This window comes from Homo sapiens, chromosome X, assembly GCF_000001405.40.
Source record: "Homo sapiens chromosome X, GRCh38.p14 Primary Assembly".
Classification (NCBI taxonomy): Eukaryota; Metazoa; Chordata; class Mammalia; order Primates; family Hominidae; genus Homo; species Homo sapiens.
Window position 1 is genome coordinate 30,514,609 of NC_000023.11, and position 19,261 is coordinate 30,533,869.

Here is a 19,261-nt window from a genome sequence, read left to right on the forward strand (position 1 = left end):
AGGTTAGGTGCTTACAGAATGTGTTTATGAATTTCCTTAATGCTAATTTGGAATTAGTTATGCATTCTACATATAAAGGCCTTTACACTCACTTCCATGAGATAAGTTAACACAAAGTAATTTTATGAGGTTAATTACAATGGTGAACTCCAAATGAGCACAACTGTTAGAATCGTTACGTACTCCTGAGTGGCAAGTGCTCCCCTTCCCCTCCTATACTTTTCTAGCTACTTGGAAGTTCATTCTTCCATGGAAGGAAAATCTGTAGGTCATAAGAGATCATTCACAATTACTTTATGCATAAGTTTTTTATATATAAAAGTAAGTACTTGCATGAGAAATCCTATTTTCATCACTCATTCTTTCAGCCATGTTGAGCCTTGTGGTTTAAATCTCATATAATGCTACATAAATGACAGATTCCTGTCTATTCACAAAATCATACTATCCTTCAATTTCACCATAATGCTTAGACCTCCAAATCTTCTTCCTTCACAAATTGCAACTAAGTAGTTTAATCTTAATAATTTAGTTTTTCATTAAAGAAGATTCTGATTTTTCTTTTTTTTTTTTTTTTTTTTTTTTGAGACAGAGTTTTACTCTTGTTGCCCAGGCTGGAGTGCAATGGTGCGATCTCAGCTCACCACAAACTCCGCCTCCTGGGTTCAAGCGATTCTCCTGCCTCAGCCTCCCAAGTAGTTGGGATTACAGGCATGCACCACCAGGCCCGGCTAATTTTGTATTTTTAGTAGAGACGGGGTTTCTCCATGTTGGTCAGGCTGGTCGCGAACTCCCAACCTCGGCTGATTCACCCGCCTCGGCCTCCCAAAGTGCTGGGATTACAGGTGTGAGCCACTGCACCCGGCCTCTGATACATTTTAACTAAAAAAAGTTGACTGTACAAAACAATAATTCAAATGATATTTGCAAACAACCCAAATTTATTCACTTTTTTCTTCCCTTTCCTCCTCATCTTTTAACAATTCTTCTTTTTAAATTTATTATTTTTAATTGACAAATAGAAATTGTATAAATTTATAATATACAGCATGGTTCATATATATATATATAAACATACATTGTGCAATGATTAAATCAAGTTAATTAACATAGGCATTACTTCACATACTTACTGATATGATTAGGTTTCATGTCCCCACCCAAATCTCATCTTGAATTGTAATCCCCATAATCCCCACGTGTCGAGGGAGGTACCTGGTGGGAGGTGATTGAATCATGAGAGTGGTTTCCTCCATGTTGTTCTCTTGATAGTGAGTGAGTTCTCATGAGGTCTCATGGTTTTATAAGGGGCTCTTCCCCTCTTGCTTCTCTCTTCTCTCTCCTGCCACCTTGTGAAGAAGGTGCCTGCTTCCCCTTCCACCATGATCCTAAGTTTCCTGAGGCCTCCCCAGCCATGTGGCACTGTGAGTCAATTAAACTTCTTTCCTTTATAAATTACCCCGTCTCAGGTAGTATCTTTATAGTAGTGTGAGAACAGACTAATACACTTGCCTTTTTTATGGTGAGAACATTAACATTTACTCTGTTAGTGATTTTCAAATATATCATACATTATTATTAACTATAGTCACCATGATGTACAATAGAGCTCTTGAACTTATTTCTCCTTTCTGACTGAAATTTTGTACCTTTGACCAACATCTCCCCACTTCTGCCCCCAGCCACTGGTAACCACTCTTCTACTCTCTGCTTCTATGAGTTAGACAACCTTATTAAGTAAATCTTTCTTGATGCTTATCTTGTATACTGTTATATATGTCTACATTTCTATGACTTTTATTTGAAAGTCTAAAATCACATTTTTGCAGCAACATGAACGCAATTGGAGGCTGTTATCTTAAGTGAAGTAACTCAGAAAAGAAAAGTCAAAAACTGCATGTTCTTACTTATAAGTAGAAGCTAAAGAATGTGTACACATGGACATTGAGTGTGGAATGATAAACACTGGAGACGTGGGAGAGTGGGAGGGTGAGAGGTGGGTAAGGGATGAGAAATTACTTAATATGTACAATTAACATTTTTCAGGTGATAGTTACACTAAAAGCCCAGATGTCACCACTACACAACATATCTATGAAACAAAACTGCACTTGTACCCCCTAAATTTATACAAATAAAAAATAAATAAAATGATGTCTTTTGTCACCCAGTTAAGGAAACCCAGAAAACTTATTTGTCACCTTGTTTCTCATATTATGTTTTTTTCTTTTCTTTTCTTTTCTTTTTTCTTTCTTTCTCTCTTTCTTTTTTTTTTTTTTTTTTGAAGGTGGGAGACTTCTTCTATTGCCCAGGCTGGAGTGCAGTGGCACAATCTCAGTTCACTGCAACCGCCACCTCCTGGGTTCAAGTGATTCTCTGCCTCAGCCTCCCGAGTAGCCGGGACTACAGGCATGCACCACCACGCTTGGCTAGTTTTTTTTGTTTTTTTGTTTGTTTGTTTGTTTTGTATATTTAGTAGAGATGGGGTTTCACTATATTGGCCAGGCTGGTCTTGAACTCCTGACCTCATGATCTGCCCGCCTCGGCCTCCCAAAGTGCTGGGATTACAGGCATGAGCCACTGCGACCAGCCTTTCTCATATTATTTTTAAATGCCTCATTCCTAGTATTGTCTGGACATATTCATTTATATTCCTATCTGTCATTCTAATCCCTGCATGTGTTTTAGTCTTAACTCTACGCTTAAAATGCATTTGGTGCTCACCCACTGGTCCTTTCTCTAGTCATCCATTAGTTGGCTGAAGTTCATCCCCTTGTACTTTTCTCAAGAAGAGCTCGTGATAACAATATCCCTTTGCAGGCTTGCATATTCAACCCTGAGTCCAGCAAGCCTATGGATGCCGTTTTTCCAACAGCATGTGTTCCTCTTTCTGTCTGTGTCACATTTTGGTAATTTTGCAATATTTCAAACGTTTTCATTATTATTATATCTGTTACGGTGATTTGTGATCAGTGATCTTTGATGTTACAACAACAATTGTTTTAGAGTGCCACAAACTATGACCATATAAGATGTGTGTGTTCTGACTGCTCCACCAACTGGCCATTCCCCCATCTCTCTCCCTCTCTTCGGGCCTCCCTATTCCCTGAGAGTCAACAATATTGAAATTAGGCCAACTGATAAACATACAATGGCTTCTAAGTGTTCAAGTGAAAGGAAGAGTTGCCCATCTCTCACTTTAAATCAAAAGCTAGAAATGATTAAATTTAGTGAGAAAGGTATGTCAAAAGCTGAGACAGACTGAAAGCTAGGCCTCTTGTGCCATACAGCCAAGTTGTGAATGTAAAGCAAAAGTTCTTGAAGGAAATTAAAAGTGTTACTCCAGTGAACACACAAATGACAAGATTGTGAAACAGCCTTATTTCTGATATGGAGAAAGTCTGACTAGTTTGGGTAGATCAAACCAATGCCAACATGCCCTTAAGGCAGCGGTCCGCAACCCCTTTTTGGCATCAGGGACCAATTTTGCAGAAGACAATTTTTCCACAAACCAGAGTTGGGCGGGGGATGGTTTCGCGATGAAGCTGTTCCGCTTCAGATCATCAGGCATTAGTTAGATTCTCTTAAGGAGCACGCAACCTAGATCCCTTGCATGTGCAATTCACAATAGGGTTTTGGGCTCCTGTGAGAATCTAATGCCGCCGCTGATCTGACAGGAGGTAGATAGAGCTCAGGTGACAGTTCTCGCTCCCCTGCCACTCACCTCCTGCTGTGTGGCCTGGTTCTTAAGAGGCCACAGCCTGGTACTGGCCTGTGGCCCGGGGGTTGGGGACCCCTGCCTTAAGCCAGAGCCTAATACAGATCAAGGCCCTAACTTCAATTATTTGAAGTCTGAGAGGTGAGGAAGTTGCAGAAGAAAAGTTGGAAGCTATCAGAGGTAGGTTCATGAGGTTTAAAGAAAGAAACCATCTCCATAACATAAAAGTGCAAGGTAAAGCAGCAAGTGCTCATGGCAAAGCTGCAAGAAGTTATCCAGAAGATCCAGCTAAGACATGTGGTAAAGGTGGCTACGCTAAAGAACAGATTTTCAATATAGATGAAACAGCGTTCTATTGGAAGAAGATGCCATCTAGGACTTTCATAGCTGGAAAGAAGTCAATGCCTGGCTTCAAAGCTTCAAAAGACAGGCTGACTTTCTTGTTTGGGGCTAATACAGCTGGTGATTTTAAGTTGAAGCCAATGTTTATTTACCATTCTAAAATCCTAGTGCCCTTAGGAATAATGCTAAATCTACTCTGCCTGTGCTCTGCAAGTGGGACAACAAAGCATGGATAACATATGTGTTTACAGCATGGTATACTGAATTTTTAAGCCCACTTTCAAGAGCTACTGCTCAGAAAAAAAAAAAAAAAAAAAACTAAATGATTTCTTTCAAAATATTACTGCTCATTGACAGTGCATTTGGTCACCCAAAACCTCTGATGGAGATGTGCAAGGAGATTAATGTTGTTTTCATGCCTGCTAACACAACATTCATTCTGCAAACCATGCATAAAGGGGCAATTTTGACTTTTAACTCTTATTATTTAAAAAATACGGTTTGTAAAACTATAGCTGCCGTAGATGATAATTTCTCTGATGGATCTGTACAGAGTAAATTGAAAGCCTTCTAGAATAAACACACCATTTCTAGATGCCATTAAAAACATATGTGATTCATGAAAGGAGGTCAAAATATCAACATTAAGAGGAGTTTGGAAGGAAATGATTTTAACCCTCATGAATGACTTTGAGGCATTCAAGACCTCCACTGCAGATGTGGTGGAAATAGCAACATAACTAGAATTAGAAGTGATGCCTGAAGATGTGACTGAATTGCTGCAATCCCATGATAAAACTTGAGTGGATACGTTGCTTAGTGTGGATGAGCAAAGAAAATGGTTTCTTGAGATGGAATCTACTCCTGGTGAAGATTCTGTGACCACTGTTGAAATGACAACAAAGGATTTAGAATACTTTATAAAATTAGTTGATAAAACAGCAGCAGGTTTTGAGAGGATTGACTCAAAATTTTAAAGAAGTTCTGCATGGGTAAAATTCTATCAAACGGCGTCACGTGCTACATAAAAATCTGTCCTGAGAGGAAGAGTCAATTGATGCAGCCAACTTCATTGTTATCTTATTTTAAGAAATTGCCACAGCTGCCCTAATCTTCAACAACCACCACCCTGATTAGTCAGCAGCCATCCACATCAAGACAAGACCCTCCCCCAGCAAAAAGATTATGACTCTCTGAAGGCTCAGATGATTGTTAGTATTTTTAAGCAATAAAGTATTTTTAAATTAAGGTATGCATATTATTTTTTAAGACATAATGCTACCGCACACTTAATAGACTACAGTATAGTGTAAACATAACTTTTATACACACTGGGAAACCACAGATTTTGTGAGACTTGCTTTATTGTGATATTCACTTTATTACTGTGGTCTGAAACCAAACCTGCAATATCTCTGAAGTAAGTCTGTATATTCTACTGCCTTTACATTTGAAGTACAGCTTGGCTAGATATAACATCTTTAGCTCATTCTTTTGTTCCTTGAGTAATTTATGAGACACTCTCCAGTTTCTTTTGGCCTGCACTGATACTATGAAGAAATCTGAGGTAGCCTGAGTGACTTGAACTTTTTGCCTGGTTGTCTAGTGTACTATTTCTTTAGCTTTAAGTTTCAGTAAATTTACCAGGACATGCTTTAACGTAGACCATTCTACGTCACTGTTTTCCTGGCATGCAATGTAAAGATTGTCTTTGGTTTCAGAAAAGTTTTTTGAATTACATATTTAAATATTTGTCCTATTCCATATTTTGTTTTTCTCCTCTGGGATGTTCTTTGTCTGTCTTTATAATTATTTTTTCTCTCTAATCTCTTTTAACTATTTTCATACTTCTGCATCATTAGATTTGCTATTTTTACTTCTTTCTTCAATTTCCCTACTTCTTATTGGCTATAATATATATAACAATGTCTATGATCTCTTGCTTCCTTCCAATTCCATCTTTATTTCTATGATTCTGCCATTTTTTTCCTAATATGCTTTTTTTTTTAGACAGAGTCTCACTCTGTCACCAACCTGGAGTGCAGTGGCGCAATCTTAGCTCACTGCAACCTCCGCCTCCTGGGTTCAAGCGATTCTCTGCCTCAGCCTCCTGAGTAGCTGGGACTACAGGCGTGCGCCACCATGCACAACTAATTTTTGTATTTTTAGTACATACGGGGTTTCACCATGTTGGTCAGGATGGTCTCTATCTCTTGACCTAGTGATCCGTCTGCCTTAGCCTCCCAAAGTGCTGGGATTACAGGCGTGAGCCACCACGCCCGGCCTTTTTCCTAATATTCTATTTTGTTCTGTCAACTCACTTCTTTATCTTCCTGATGTCTGTCCATTTTTTCCCTGAGTTCTTATATTCCATCTTTGTAACTTTTCTTCAGAGAGGCAATTGCTTTCATTATTTAAAAAAAAATCGTCACCATCATAGGTCACCATATTTGGTCACCAAACATTTGGTCATCATCAGAAGTTGGGTTCCCTCTGAAGAAAACAAAGGTGTGAGGGCAAGTTGTAATTTGGGAGATAATCCCAAGAAACACTGGGGTGAGTTTGATAAACTGAGACCAGGAAGGGATGACAGTCAATGCAGAGTGCATGAATGAGCCAATTACTGCTATAACAAGTGGATCCCAACCCCTCTGAGTTCCTCTAGGAGACTTTGTAAAACAGGGATTATAAAACTTTAATACGCATACAAATCATCTGGGGATTTTTAGAAAACACGGGTTCTCATTCAGCAGGTCTGAGATAAGGTCTGAGATTCTGCATTTCTCATAAAACAATCCCAGACAATGCTGAGTAACAGGGATGCAGAATTCATCTCAGCACTGTCCCTCCCTCACATTTCCCAGGGTGAGGCAATTCCTGTCTATAATTGGATGAGGAATGTTCCTGGGGCTATAAGCTCTCTGGCACTTTCAGCTTGCTCTGCATGTCAGAAAATCAGTCAGAGAAAGCTGTCATTGAAGTCAAAGAGGCATGCAGCAAAAAGTCGTCAGCCTGTCTAGAAACTGAGTGCAAGGGGGATGATGCATCTCCTACTCACACTTTTCATCAGTTCTAAGGCAACATTTTTCTGGAGAATGTTCTTTATGTGTCAGTAAGTTTTACTCCTCTATCACACAATTTTTTGTATAATATCTCTGTGTCTGTTTTTTCTATTACTCATAATGAAATAGATTATATTCTCCTGAGGTCAGCTATTTCTAGTACAAGAAGTAAGGCTGGATAATGGGCAAGGGCAACTTCACAAATCAAAGGCTAAATCTCTGCTACTACCGTAAGGGCAAATTACTTCCTACAACTATGATTCACCTTTGTGATCCATTGTGCAGCCCCAGCTCCTTTACTTCTCTGACCCACATTGGGCCTTTCGAGCTTCTGCTACCAACCAAGCCAATTGACGCATTTCCTGCATCTATGGTTACAAACAATGAGTATCACTTTAGCACATCCAAGTAAGTCCCTCACCTTCTTTCAGTATATTTTTTCTGGAATTTTCTGAGATCTTCCTCTATTGGCTCTTCTCATCATTCTCAATGACTTATTCTGTTCACTACCTCCTGTACAGCTTATACTCAGCCTCAGCTTCATTTGATAGGCTTACATTAATGCATATAAATATAATACATATATATAAATATATTAATATAATGTATTTTGGAATATGAAGATTATTTGTCTCCTGGTTTCATTCAAAATAGGGTTTGTTCAACATTTTCTCCCCTTCTTGCTTTTTTAATATTTTCAGGAGGAAACAGAGAAAGGCACTCACACTATTAGTTTTCAAACACTAATTGAGTCATCTTATGTGCCAGGCTGATCGCAATGCAATTAAAAATGAATATGACATTGTCCCAGGCCTCAACTTGTTCCCAATCCTGTACATTGACTGTCAGTGCAACATGGGTAAAACCATTAGACTTCTCTAATCTTCAATTTTCCACATATGAAATCAAGATATTTAAATATTTTAGTATATAACATCTATAAGGCATGCTGTAGATGGATAAAATATTGTAAATTAATTTATACACATGTTGAGAGATGATTCTGGTATTTATTTAGCAGGATTTAAAGAATTTAGTTATCTAAATGCCAGTTAATATGTAGGAGAATAAGGAAACCCCAGTAAGAAAGAACAACTGTTTTTCACACTTGCTTAATATAGACAAGAGGCAATTGGTTTAAATTAGAGTAAAAGTTTTTAGTAGTTACATATTAGAAAAAATTATTTCACTTTTTATACTTTATTTTTTAATTGATCATAGTAATTATATATATTTATGGGGAATATAGTGACATTTCAATACGTATAATGTATAGTGACCAGATCAGAGTAATTAGTATATCCATCATCTCAAACTTATCATTTATTTCTGTTGGGAACATTTAATACCCTCCTTCTAGCTATTTGAACCTATATAATATATTATGGTTAACTACAGCCATCCTAGTGGTATAGAACACTGGAACTTATTCCTCCTATATAGCTATAATTTTGTATCCTTTAAACATTATTTTAAAGGTTGAAAGATATTAGAAGTTGTTTCGAAGAGTTTTCAGAAATGACTTGACAATTTCATGAGTTATTTTCAGTCTGGTCTTGCCTGAAGATGTGAACTAGATGGTTTTTCAGTATCCCAATAGTTGTGTGAGTTTAGGATAATATAAAGAAACACTTTTTTTTTTCTTGCTCTGTTGCCCAGGCTGGAGTGCAGTGACGCGATCTTGGCTCACTGCAACCTCTGCTTCCCAGGTTGACGCAATTCTCCTACCTCAGCCTCCCAAGTAGCCGGGACTACAGGTGCCCGCCACCAGGTCCAGCTAATTTTTTTGTATTTTTGATAGAGATGGGGTTTCACCATGTTGGCTAGGCTTATCTCGGACTCCTGACCTCAGGTGATCCACCTGCCCCAGCCTCGCAAAGTACTTGGATTACAGATGTGAGGGAACACTTCTTTTTATACTTCCTAGGTTCTTCCATATTTTCTTTTCAAAATCAGTTTTATTGAAGTATAATTAGCATTTTTCTTTTTCCTTTTAGTTGATATATAAAAATTGTACTTATGTATGGGCTACAGAGTGAACCTGTGATACCTGTATACAATGTGCAATGACCAAATCAAGGTAATTAGCATATCCATCACCTCAAATATTTACCATTTCTTTGTGCTGGGAACATTCAAAATCCTCTCTTCTAGGTCTTTGAAAATGTACAATAAATTATTGTTAACTACATTCACCCTACAGGGCTATATAGTGCTGGAACTTATTCCTCCTATCTAACTGTAATTTCGTATCCATTAACCAACCTCTCCCTATCCTCCCTCCCACCCTTCCCAGCCTCTAATAACCACAATTTACTGTCTACTTCTATGAGCTTAACTTTTCTTAGCTCCCACATATGAGTGAGAACATGCATTTTTATCTTTCTGTGCCTGGCTTATTTCACTTAATATAATGTCCTCCAAGCTCATCCATGTTGCCACAAATGACAGGATTTCATTTGTTTTATGGCTGAATAGTGTTCTGTTGTATATATGAGACACATTTTCTTTATTTATCTGTTGTTGGACATTTAGGTTGATTCCATATCTTGGCTATTGTAAATAGTATTGTAATAAACGTGAGGCTGTAGCTATCTGTTCAACATACTGATTTCCTTTTCTTTGGATAAATACCAAGTAGTGGGATTACTGGATCATATGGTAATTCTATTTTTAGTTTTTTGAGAAATATCCACACTGTTTTCCTTAATGTCTTTACTAATTTACAGCCATTTTCTCTGCATCCTCACCAGCATTTCTTATTTTCTGTCTTTTTGATAATAGCTATTCTAACTGGGATAAGATGATACCTCATTGTGGTTTTAATTTAAATTTCCCTGGTAATTAGTGATGTTGAGCATTTTTTCATACTTGTTCACCATTTGTTTGCCTTTTTCTGAAAAATCTCCATTCATATCCTTTGCCCATTTTAAAATAATATTATTGCTTTTTACTGTTGAGTTGTTTGAATTCCCCGTATATTCTTGATATTAGTCTTTTGGATAATTGATATTTTATAAATTGTGCGTGTTTTAAATGTATAATGTGATCAGGCTTTTTTTTTTTTTAAATCTGGCTTCATTTATTAAGCACGATGCTCTTGAGATTCATTCATGTTGTTATGTCCAAGCTTCTTTTGTGACAGCAAAACCCTTGGCAACAATTTGGTAAGTTTTAAACACATTAGCCAGGTGTGGTGGCTCACACCTGCAATCCCAGGCCGAATTGGGCAGATTGCTGGAGCCCAAGAGTTTGAGACCAGCCTGGGCAACAGGGCAAAACCCCATCTCTAGAAAATATATAAAAATTAGACAGGCATCGTGATGCGTGCCTGTGGCCCCAGCTACTCAGGAGGCTGAGGCAGGGGAATCACCTGAGTCTGGGAGGTCGAGGCTTCACTGAGCTGTGATTGTACCACTGCACTTCTACCTGGGCGACAGAGCGAGACTCTGTCTCAAAACAACAACAACAAAAACATGACTACAGTCAAGAAAATGAACATATTCATCGCTCTCAAAAATGATTTATTTGTAAACATCTACAATGGCTAGATGTCATGGAAAGGTAGATTTTTCACTCAATTGAAGTAATAATTGTATTATAATAATCAAATCTAATCTGAAAAAAAGCATGGACCACCAAAGATATGGATTTATTGTCATTTGAGATGTTCAGTGAGGTAGGAGTTTTAATTATGGTTCTCGAGTAAAACAGAACAACACACACACACACATGCACGAGAGATAGAGTGGTTATAAAGATCATAGAGTTGGCTGGGTGTGGTGGCTCAAGCCTGTAATCCCAGCACTTTGGGAGGCCGAGGCAGGTGGATCACCTGAGGTCAGGAGTTCGAGACCATCCTGGCTAACATGGTAAAACCCCGTTTCTACTAAAAATACAAAAAATTAGCCGGGTGTGGTGATGCTCACGTGTAATCCCAGCTACTCAGGAGGCTGAGGCAGAAGAATCGCTTGAACCCGGGAGGTGGAGGTTTGCAGTGAGCCGAGATCATGCCATTGCACTCCAGCTTGGGCAACAAGAGTGAAATCCCATCTCAAAAAAAAAAAATGATTATACAGTTATAGAGGCTGAGAAGTCCCATGATCTGCCGTCTGCAACCTGGAGACCCAAAAAGCTAGCGGTGCAGCTCCAGTCCAAGTCTAAAGGCCTGAGAACCAGGAGTACCAAAGCAAACCTATGCCAATTGCTTGTGCATGAACTATTTATAACTATTTTGAACTAAGAATAATTTGCAGCCCAGCAGTGGTATGTGGACCATGACTTAAGCAGCATTGAATTTGAAAATAAGCAAACTTGTTCTCTTACACACACACCACACAAATATACACACAAAAATAAGCTCTCGTTCTATGAACTTTTCTGTATTGCCACACTGAAGTTTCTAAGTATTTATATCTAAGAGAATATAGGTTTCCCAATCTTCTATCCTTGATGACACAGGGACAAAAACTGGCTTCTTCTATTACTCCATTTCCCTTGAGAGTTTTCCTACATTTTATAGCTAATAAGAAAAATGTTATAATTCTAAAAAAGAAAAACAACTAAGTCCTGTCTGTCGTATCACAGTGTTTTCCAGAATTACCTTGCAGCAAAAAATGCAAGGTCTACCAAAAAATTTAGTTAGACGTAAATCTTTGGTTCTTGGAAACCTAAAATTTTCCTTCTATTGCTTGGGTTCCTAGAAGACACTTTTTCCTCTAGACATGGATATTCCCATGGTGGGTCTACATATGTTTAACAAGTGGGAGACATAAACTTTTCTATGATCCCATTTTTGTCTTGAAGTTTTTCATTCTTCACTTATATCCCAGCATGTCAAACAGGAACTAACCACTATTATTTATTACTTAGAAATGGAAGAGCAACGGTAAGTATGTATATTCTTCTAGCCAACAATTAATTTTTATTTGACTGCAAGTGAGCCACTCATAGTTATTAAACACTGGCTATAATAAAAATAAATACAATTATTGCACAAGCATCATATATTATTAAACCATTTTTCAATGAACAGCTTTGAGTTTTTAGAATCATTGACTCTTGGACCTAGAAGACACTTTTAAAAATTCTATACCACAATCTAAATTTTTCAAAATCAATATTATAAACAGTACATTATCATTAAGATAATTTGGAAAATATACAAAGACAAAAAAATCACATCTAGTCCCATTATCTCAGTATAGACTCTTTGAGTATTACGTGTCCTTTCTTCTAGCTTACTTTTTATGCAAAAATGATTTGTTTATTAAAAATGTAACAGTAAGTAATACTACATACAATATTGTTTAATGATGTTTCTCTTAATATTAAAACAGAAGTATTTTTCTACACTATTACATAATCTTCACAAATGGCATTTTATATAGTTCTGCAATGCCGAGACCAGCTCGGTCGGTCGTGGACACCCTAACCCAGCGGCGCTAGAGGAATTAAAGACACACACACAGAAATATAGAGTGTGGAGTGGGAAATCAGGGGACTCACAGCCTTCAGAGCTGAGAGCCCCGAACAGAGTTTGACCCACCTATTTATTGACAGCAAGCCAGTGATAAGCATTGTTTCTATAGATTGTAGATTAACTAAAAGTATTCCTTATGGGAAACAAAGGGATGGGCTGAAACAAAGGGATGGGCTCTGGCTAGTTATCTGCAGCAGGAACATGTCCTTAAGGTGCAGATTGCTCATGCTATTGTTTGTGGTTTAGGAACGCCTTTAAGTGGTTTTCCGTCCTGAGTGGGCCAGGTGTTCCTTGCCCTCATTCCAGTAAACCCACAACCTTCAGCGTGGGCATCATGGCCATCATGAACATGTCACAGTGCTGCAGAGATTTTGTTTGTGGCCAGTTTTGGGGCCAGTTTATGGCCAGATTTGGGGACCTGTTCCCAACACTGCAAAATAATTTCTCTAGTGCTATATCACAGATTAAACATTCTTTTTTATCTTCTTTTAATTAATATTTAATGATACATTAATTTTCATGATCATAAATTACACTGAACTTAATAAATTATGCAAAAAATGATCTTGACTCTGCAATGTCACTTACACTAACTCTTTCATTTTTTATAACTGGTATGTTTTTCACTCTACAGGTAGAATAAAAATTAAAGTTTAGCCCAACCTGGTAACTCCATTAAGTCTTAATTTAAATAATTTAAACTGAGTTTTATTTGAATGGGCCCAGACTTCAGATTTTCCTTGCATCTACTATTGTTTCTAAGAAGTTCACAGGGTTTACTCTACCTCGTGGCATTGTGGGAAGACAGCGTTGTCCATAACGTGGTATTGATCCGGTCCCATCCTTGGGTACTCTATTGGCACTTGCTGCTGAAGATTTTGGCTGATGCAACTTGTGGACTGCTCTTCCAGACAACTTGGCTCTATCTTAGTTCTCAGGGGTGCCTATGAAACCCCTCAAGAAGTCTCAGTATGTGTCAGTTGGCTTTAGTAGCGTGATAAAATGTTTTTAAATTTAGTGGTTTAAAATAACTATCTAGCTCATGATTCTGCTGGGCACTTCATTGTCTGGACCAGGCTCAAGGAATTTCAGTTGGGTTGTTCATGCATTCATGGTTGGCAGGTCAATGGGTAACCAATTGGCCTCACCATTCAAATGTTTGGTGGTTGACACGTACAACGGGAGTTACTAGCCCATCTACCTTTGGTTATCTGGCGGGCTAGCTGGAGGTTTTCATGTCACCACTGAAAAAAAAAGCAGCTATTACAAAAGCAGACAGAGGGGAAAACTCCACTGCGCAATTGCTTTTCAAGTCACTTTTCAAGTTTACATAATATTTTCTAATGTCCCATTGGCTAAAGCAAGTGTAGGGGTACACTATTAAAGGGCATGGATAGATGGAAAGAAATAATTTGTGGCCATTTTTATAAATTACAACATACTGTGATTGCCATTCAGTCACCAAGTGGGCCAGGTGCTGTGGCTCACATCTGTAACCCCAGCACTTTGGGAGGCCGAGGCGGGCAGATCACCTGAGGTCAGGAATTCGAGACCACCCTGGACAACATGGTGAAACCCCGTCTCGACTGAAAATACAAAAACTTTTCTGGGCGTGGTGGCACGTGCCTGTAATCACAGCTACTCAGGAGGCTGAGGCAGGAGAATCGCTTGAACCCAGGAGGCAGATATTGCAGTGAGCTGAGATTGCACCACTACGCTCCAACCTGGGCAACATAGTGAGACTCTGTCTCAAAAAAAATAAAATTACCAAGTGCCATAGCAACCCACTCTGGTATACTACCTGATTAGACTAGGTAACCTGTTGGGGGCATGTGGAAATAGTGCCATTTAAGACCCAAGGGCAGCTTTGGAGTATTAGCTCTAGTTTTCTCTGTCTAACCACTCCATCGTCCCTTGTTTCTGGGATAAGTGGGGAAAAGACCCCACCTCAGGTTTATCTTCAACCTCTCCTATATACATCCTGTCCACCTGCCAGGATTCTTAGTTGCAGACAACAGGATCTGCTAATTTAGGCATAAAATACATATCAAAATATGTTAGGCAGATACTGTGAGAGGACCAAAGAATGGACCTATATACTGTAGTCCCAGGATCAAAGCACTGAGAGATAATACAGTCTGAGAAAACACACAATTATATCGCAAACCCACCACTCAAATCCTTTGACACTGGATGCCAAAAACTCCACCACAGCTGAAGATCAAATGCCTCAACCCCTGAACTTTCCAGATGATCCCCTCTTCCCACCTGCAACCACCAGCTCCTGTTGCTACCTCCAAGTTGAACACTGATGCTAAGAAATTGGGTCACATGCAGAACTCTAAAGGCAAGGAAATCTGAGATGTGTAGTTTTTAAATTTCCAACTACTTTTGTCCAGAAAAGTAAGCTAGAAAGTGGTTACAATGGATGCTAAGTGACCTAATCTGCAGTATCTGTTGTAGTTTCCTATTCCAAACCCCAAGGCTAGAGAAGGGAGATCAGGATATAAGAATATGCTACCCCACATTCATTTCTCCTACTCTTCCTACAATCTCATGAGCTTTCTACTAATGAAGTGAGTGGCTTTCTACTTTTGCTCTTGTATGTATTTGAGTAGTACATATCTACATTTCTTGAGGGCACTGAGTCTTAGTGGTGGATGAAGCATTTTGGGGGTAGGGTTCAGTAGAATAATAACCTGAAGCGCATATCCATGTGCAAATTATTTATGAAGGAAATTTTCTTGAAATAAACTGATAAAAAATATAGGAACAGAGCAGATAAGAAAGTAGGAGAAGGTTTGCAAGACTGCAATTGAGGCAAAGTCTTTAGGACAACCACAGCCTAATCCTGTGGGGTAACTCTGAAGTATGGTGCCTTAGAGTTTGTCCCAATCAGAGACAAGGGGGCTCAACTTTCATACTAGTGCATTCTTCAGCTGTTGGCTAAGGGCTTTCCCAGGAGTGTCGAAACATCTAAGTAGTTCTAGCTCTCTGCACCTGCCAGAAAAACTGACTTCAGGAGTCCAGTGACAGTCCTCCAACTGGTGGGTGGGAAGGAGGAGGTTGAAAGCAAAAGTTGGCATTGAAGTTGACAGATGGGTGTACAGAAACAATTTTTTTTTAACTACAAAGGAGGAGACCTAGAGGAAGCACAGTGGACAGTGCCCACTCTAGGTTATGTACTCATTACCATGAAGTCCCTGGGCCTGGGTTTTAATATGCATCCTGGTATAGTGACTTGGCATTCAATGTCTATTCCACCCTCCTTGGTTGTGCCCTCTTGTTCTTCAGTGGCTGGAAAACAAAAACTACATTTCCCAGGCTTACTTGCAATTAGAATCTTGGACGTGATTTAAAATCAGGCAATCGGATACTTCGATGCAAAATTTAGAAGGTGGAAGTGACACAAAGGCTGAGATTCTGCTGTTAGTACTAGGTTTTGGGGCAAGAATGATTTTTCAGGTATTTTATTTTCTGTGGCAGCATTAACAGTAGTCTCAGGACCCACTCATGATGTTGAGAAACAGGACTCAGGGCATTCATTTAGCTTGTATGAATCATAGCAGGAATGACACGCCTCTGGAGCTCACAGCAGCAGCTTCCTGATCATGGTGGTTTCCTGATGATGGCAATAACAACACAATTCTGGAGCCTGGAGCCCCCTGATCACGTAAGGGGCAGCAGCTGCCCTGATGGTCAGGTTCTATGATGAGTCTGTGGAAGGGAATATGCACAGACTATTGTGCATGACGGGGAGCCCCATATTTAATCACTCCTCACTCCACCAAGCTGTTTCTTCATATCAAGGCTTTCCCTTAATTCCACCCACAAGACCATTTGGAAAAGGCACCAGGCCTGGAGTTTGGGAGTGCAATGGGGATGTGACTGCTGGAAATTAGTCAATCTCCACCCATTTTCCTAAGATCTTCAGCACTGTTTATTCACTACCCTGATTTTACCTCTGCAAACACTCATACCAGGGATTGAACCTCTGAGGAGTTTGTCAGTTTTCTCCATACCTTTACAATATCTCTCAGAGATCAGTTTTGGCTAAGGGAGCTAGTTGTCTTAGTTGACCATCTTCATTGATACTTAAACTGGAACCCAAGGAATTATTTTGTAGAATAAGTTTTACAATCACTATGTTTATTCATGCTATCTTTACTGTTGAAGGTGTTTGAAATGTTTACACTGCTGATGAGGTGTCTGAAGTCTTCAAAAGGAAAACCAGTTACATTAAATTTGTTATTGGAGCTTAAATTGTTCAAAGAAATTTAATTAAGACACCATTTAATCTCTATGTGTTTAAGAAAAAAATGACTGCCAGATTTGTTCACTAGACATGTAAATAAAGCAAAATCCAAGTGATCTTTTTACTCTACACACAAAATCTCTCTGACTTTAAAGACTCCATCAAGAAATGGAAATACATTTAGTTAAATAAATATTGTAAAATTTTCAAGTATCCCAGTAATCAAAAATGCACATCAAGACAACAATAAAAGACTGTCATTCATTAACAAATTAGCAAAAGATACTTTGTCAGGATTCCTATTTTGGGTAATAGTGCAATGGATAAATGCTAGGAAAAAATCCTACGTTGCGGACAGAAAATACAGTAGTAAAACACTTTAGGAAGTGATATGAAATAAGTATCCAGAGTTAAAAATGTTCATGATGCAATTTAATTTCTGGGAATTCACCTTAAAGGAGTAGTTATAAATATTTACAACAGAGATGCTACTTTAAAATATGTTAATATGATTTAATATATGACTGTTTTAGGTGGCCAGATGCATCCATATGTGTAGCGTGAGGGATGTGGAGGTTGGGATATTATAGCAGGAAAGCAAAGATTAAAAGCAGCCCATTTTCTTTTCATTTATCAACTTTTATTTTAGGTCAGGGGATACATGCACAGCTTTGTTCTATGGGTAAATTGTGTCTTGGGGTCTTGAGATACAAATGATCCCATCACCCAGGTAGTGGGCATAGCACCCAATAGGTAGTTTTTCAACATTTGCTTCCCTTACGCCCTCCCTCCTCTAATAGTACCCACTGTCTATTGTTTCCATCTTTTAAAAAAAATTTTATTTTTAATTTTTGTGAGTACATAGTAGGTGTATATATTTACAGGTTACATGAGATATTTTGATAAAGGCATGCAATGAATAATAATCACATCAGAGCAAATGTAATATCCATCACCTTAAGTATTCATTCTTTGTATTACAAATAATCCAATTATACTCTTAGTTATTTTAAAATGTACAATTATTATTGACTATAGTTGCCCTGTTGTGTTATCAAATAGTAAGTCTTATTCATTTTTTCTAACTCTATTGTTTCCATCTTTATGTCCTTGTATTGTCAATGTTTAGCTTCCACTTACAAAAGTGAGAACATACAGTATTTGATTTTCTGTTTCTGTGTCAATTCTCTTAGGATAATGGCCTCCAGCTGCAACCATGTTGCTGCAAAAAAAAAAAAAAAAAACCAACAAAAAAAACATGACTTTGGGTTTTTTTATGGCTGCATACTACTCCATGGTGTATATGTACCACACATTTTGTTCATCCAGTTCACCATTGATGGGCATTTAGTTTCATTCCATGTCATTGCTATTGTAAATAGTGCAAGCAGCCAATTTTGAAGTTTTGACTGCTAACAGAATTTCTGAGTTGAGAAAACTTTTCAGTTTGTCTGATCACCACCACAACTAAAGCAAAAGTTTTGTAATACGAATGCAAAAGACAAAAGCACATTGATATAGATTTTGAGGGGAGAAGATTTTTTAAATTCTTATAATTCCCTTTAGCATGTTGTTTTTAAATTTTTAATTGACAAAATTGTATATATTAGACATTTATGAGGTACAATGTGATGTTTAGATATATATTTACAATATAAAATGATTAAATCATTTGCTAATTAACAAATCTGTAACTTCACACACTTTTTTGTTGTGAAAACATTTTAAATCTCCTCTTTTAGTAATTTTGAAGTATATGATGCATTATTATTTATTATAGTCACCATTCTATGCAATAGATCACTAAAGCTTATTCGTCCTGTTTAACTAAAATTGTCACCCTTTGATCAACATTTCCCCTTTCCCCATTCACTCCTCTTACTCAGCATCTGGCAACCACCACTTGATTCTCTACTTTTATGAGTTCAACTTTCTTAGATCCTTTAGCATATTGTCTAGGTCAGGGTTCAGTTGTACAAGGCAGACTGCACTTTAGCTAGCTCAAGCAGGAAGGAATTTGTATTAGTCCATACTCATGCTACTATGAAGAAATACCCGAGACTGAGTAATTCATAAGGAAAAGAGGTTTAATTGACTCACAGTTCTGTATGGTTGGGAAGGCCTCAGGAAACTTAAAATCATGGCAGAAGGGGAAGCAGGCACTTTCTTCACAAGGCAAGGAGAAGTGCCCAGCAGCAAAGGTGGAAGAGCCCCTTATAAAAAACAACAGATCTTGTGAGAACTCCCTCACTATCAAGAGAACAGCATGGGGGAACCACCCCCATGATCCAATTTATCTCCACCTGATCCCACCCTTGACCCGTAAGGATTATTACAATTCAAGGTGAGATTACAATTCAAGGGACACAGAGCCAAACCATATCAGAATTCATTATAGAATT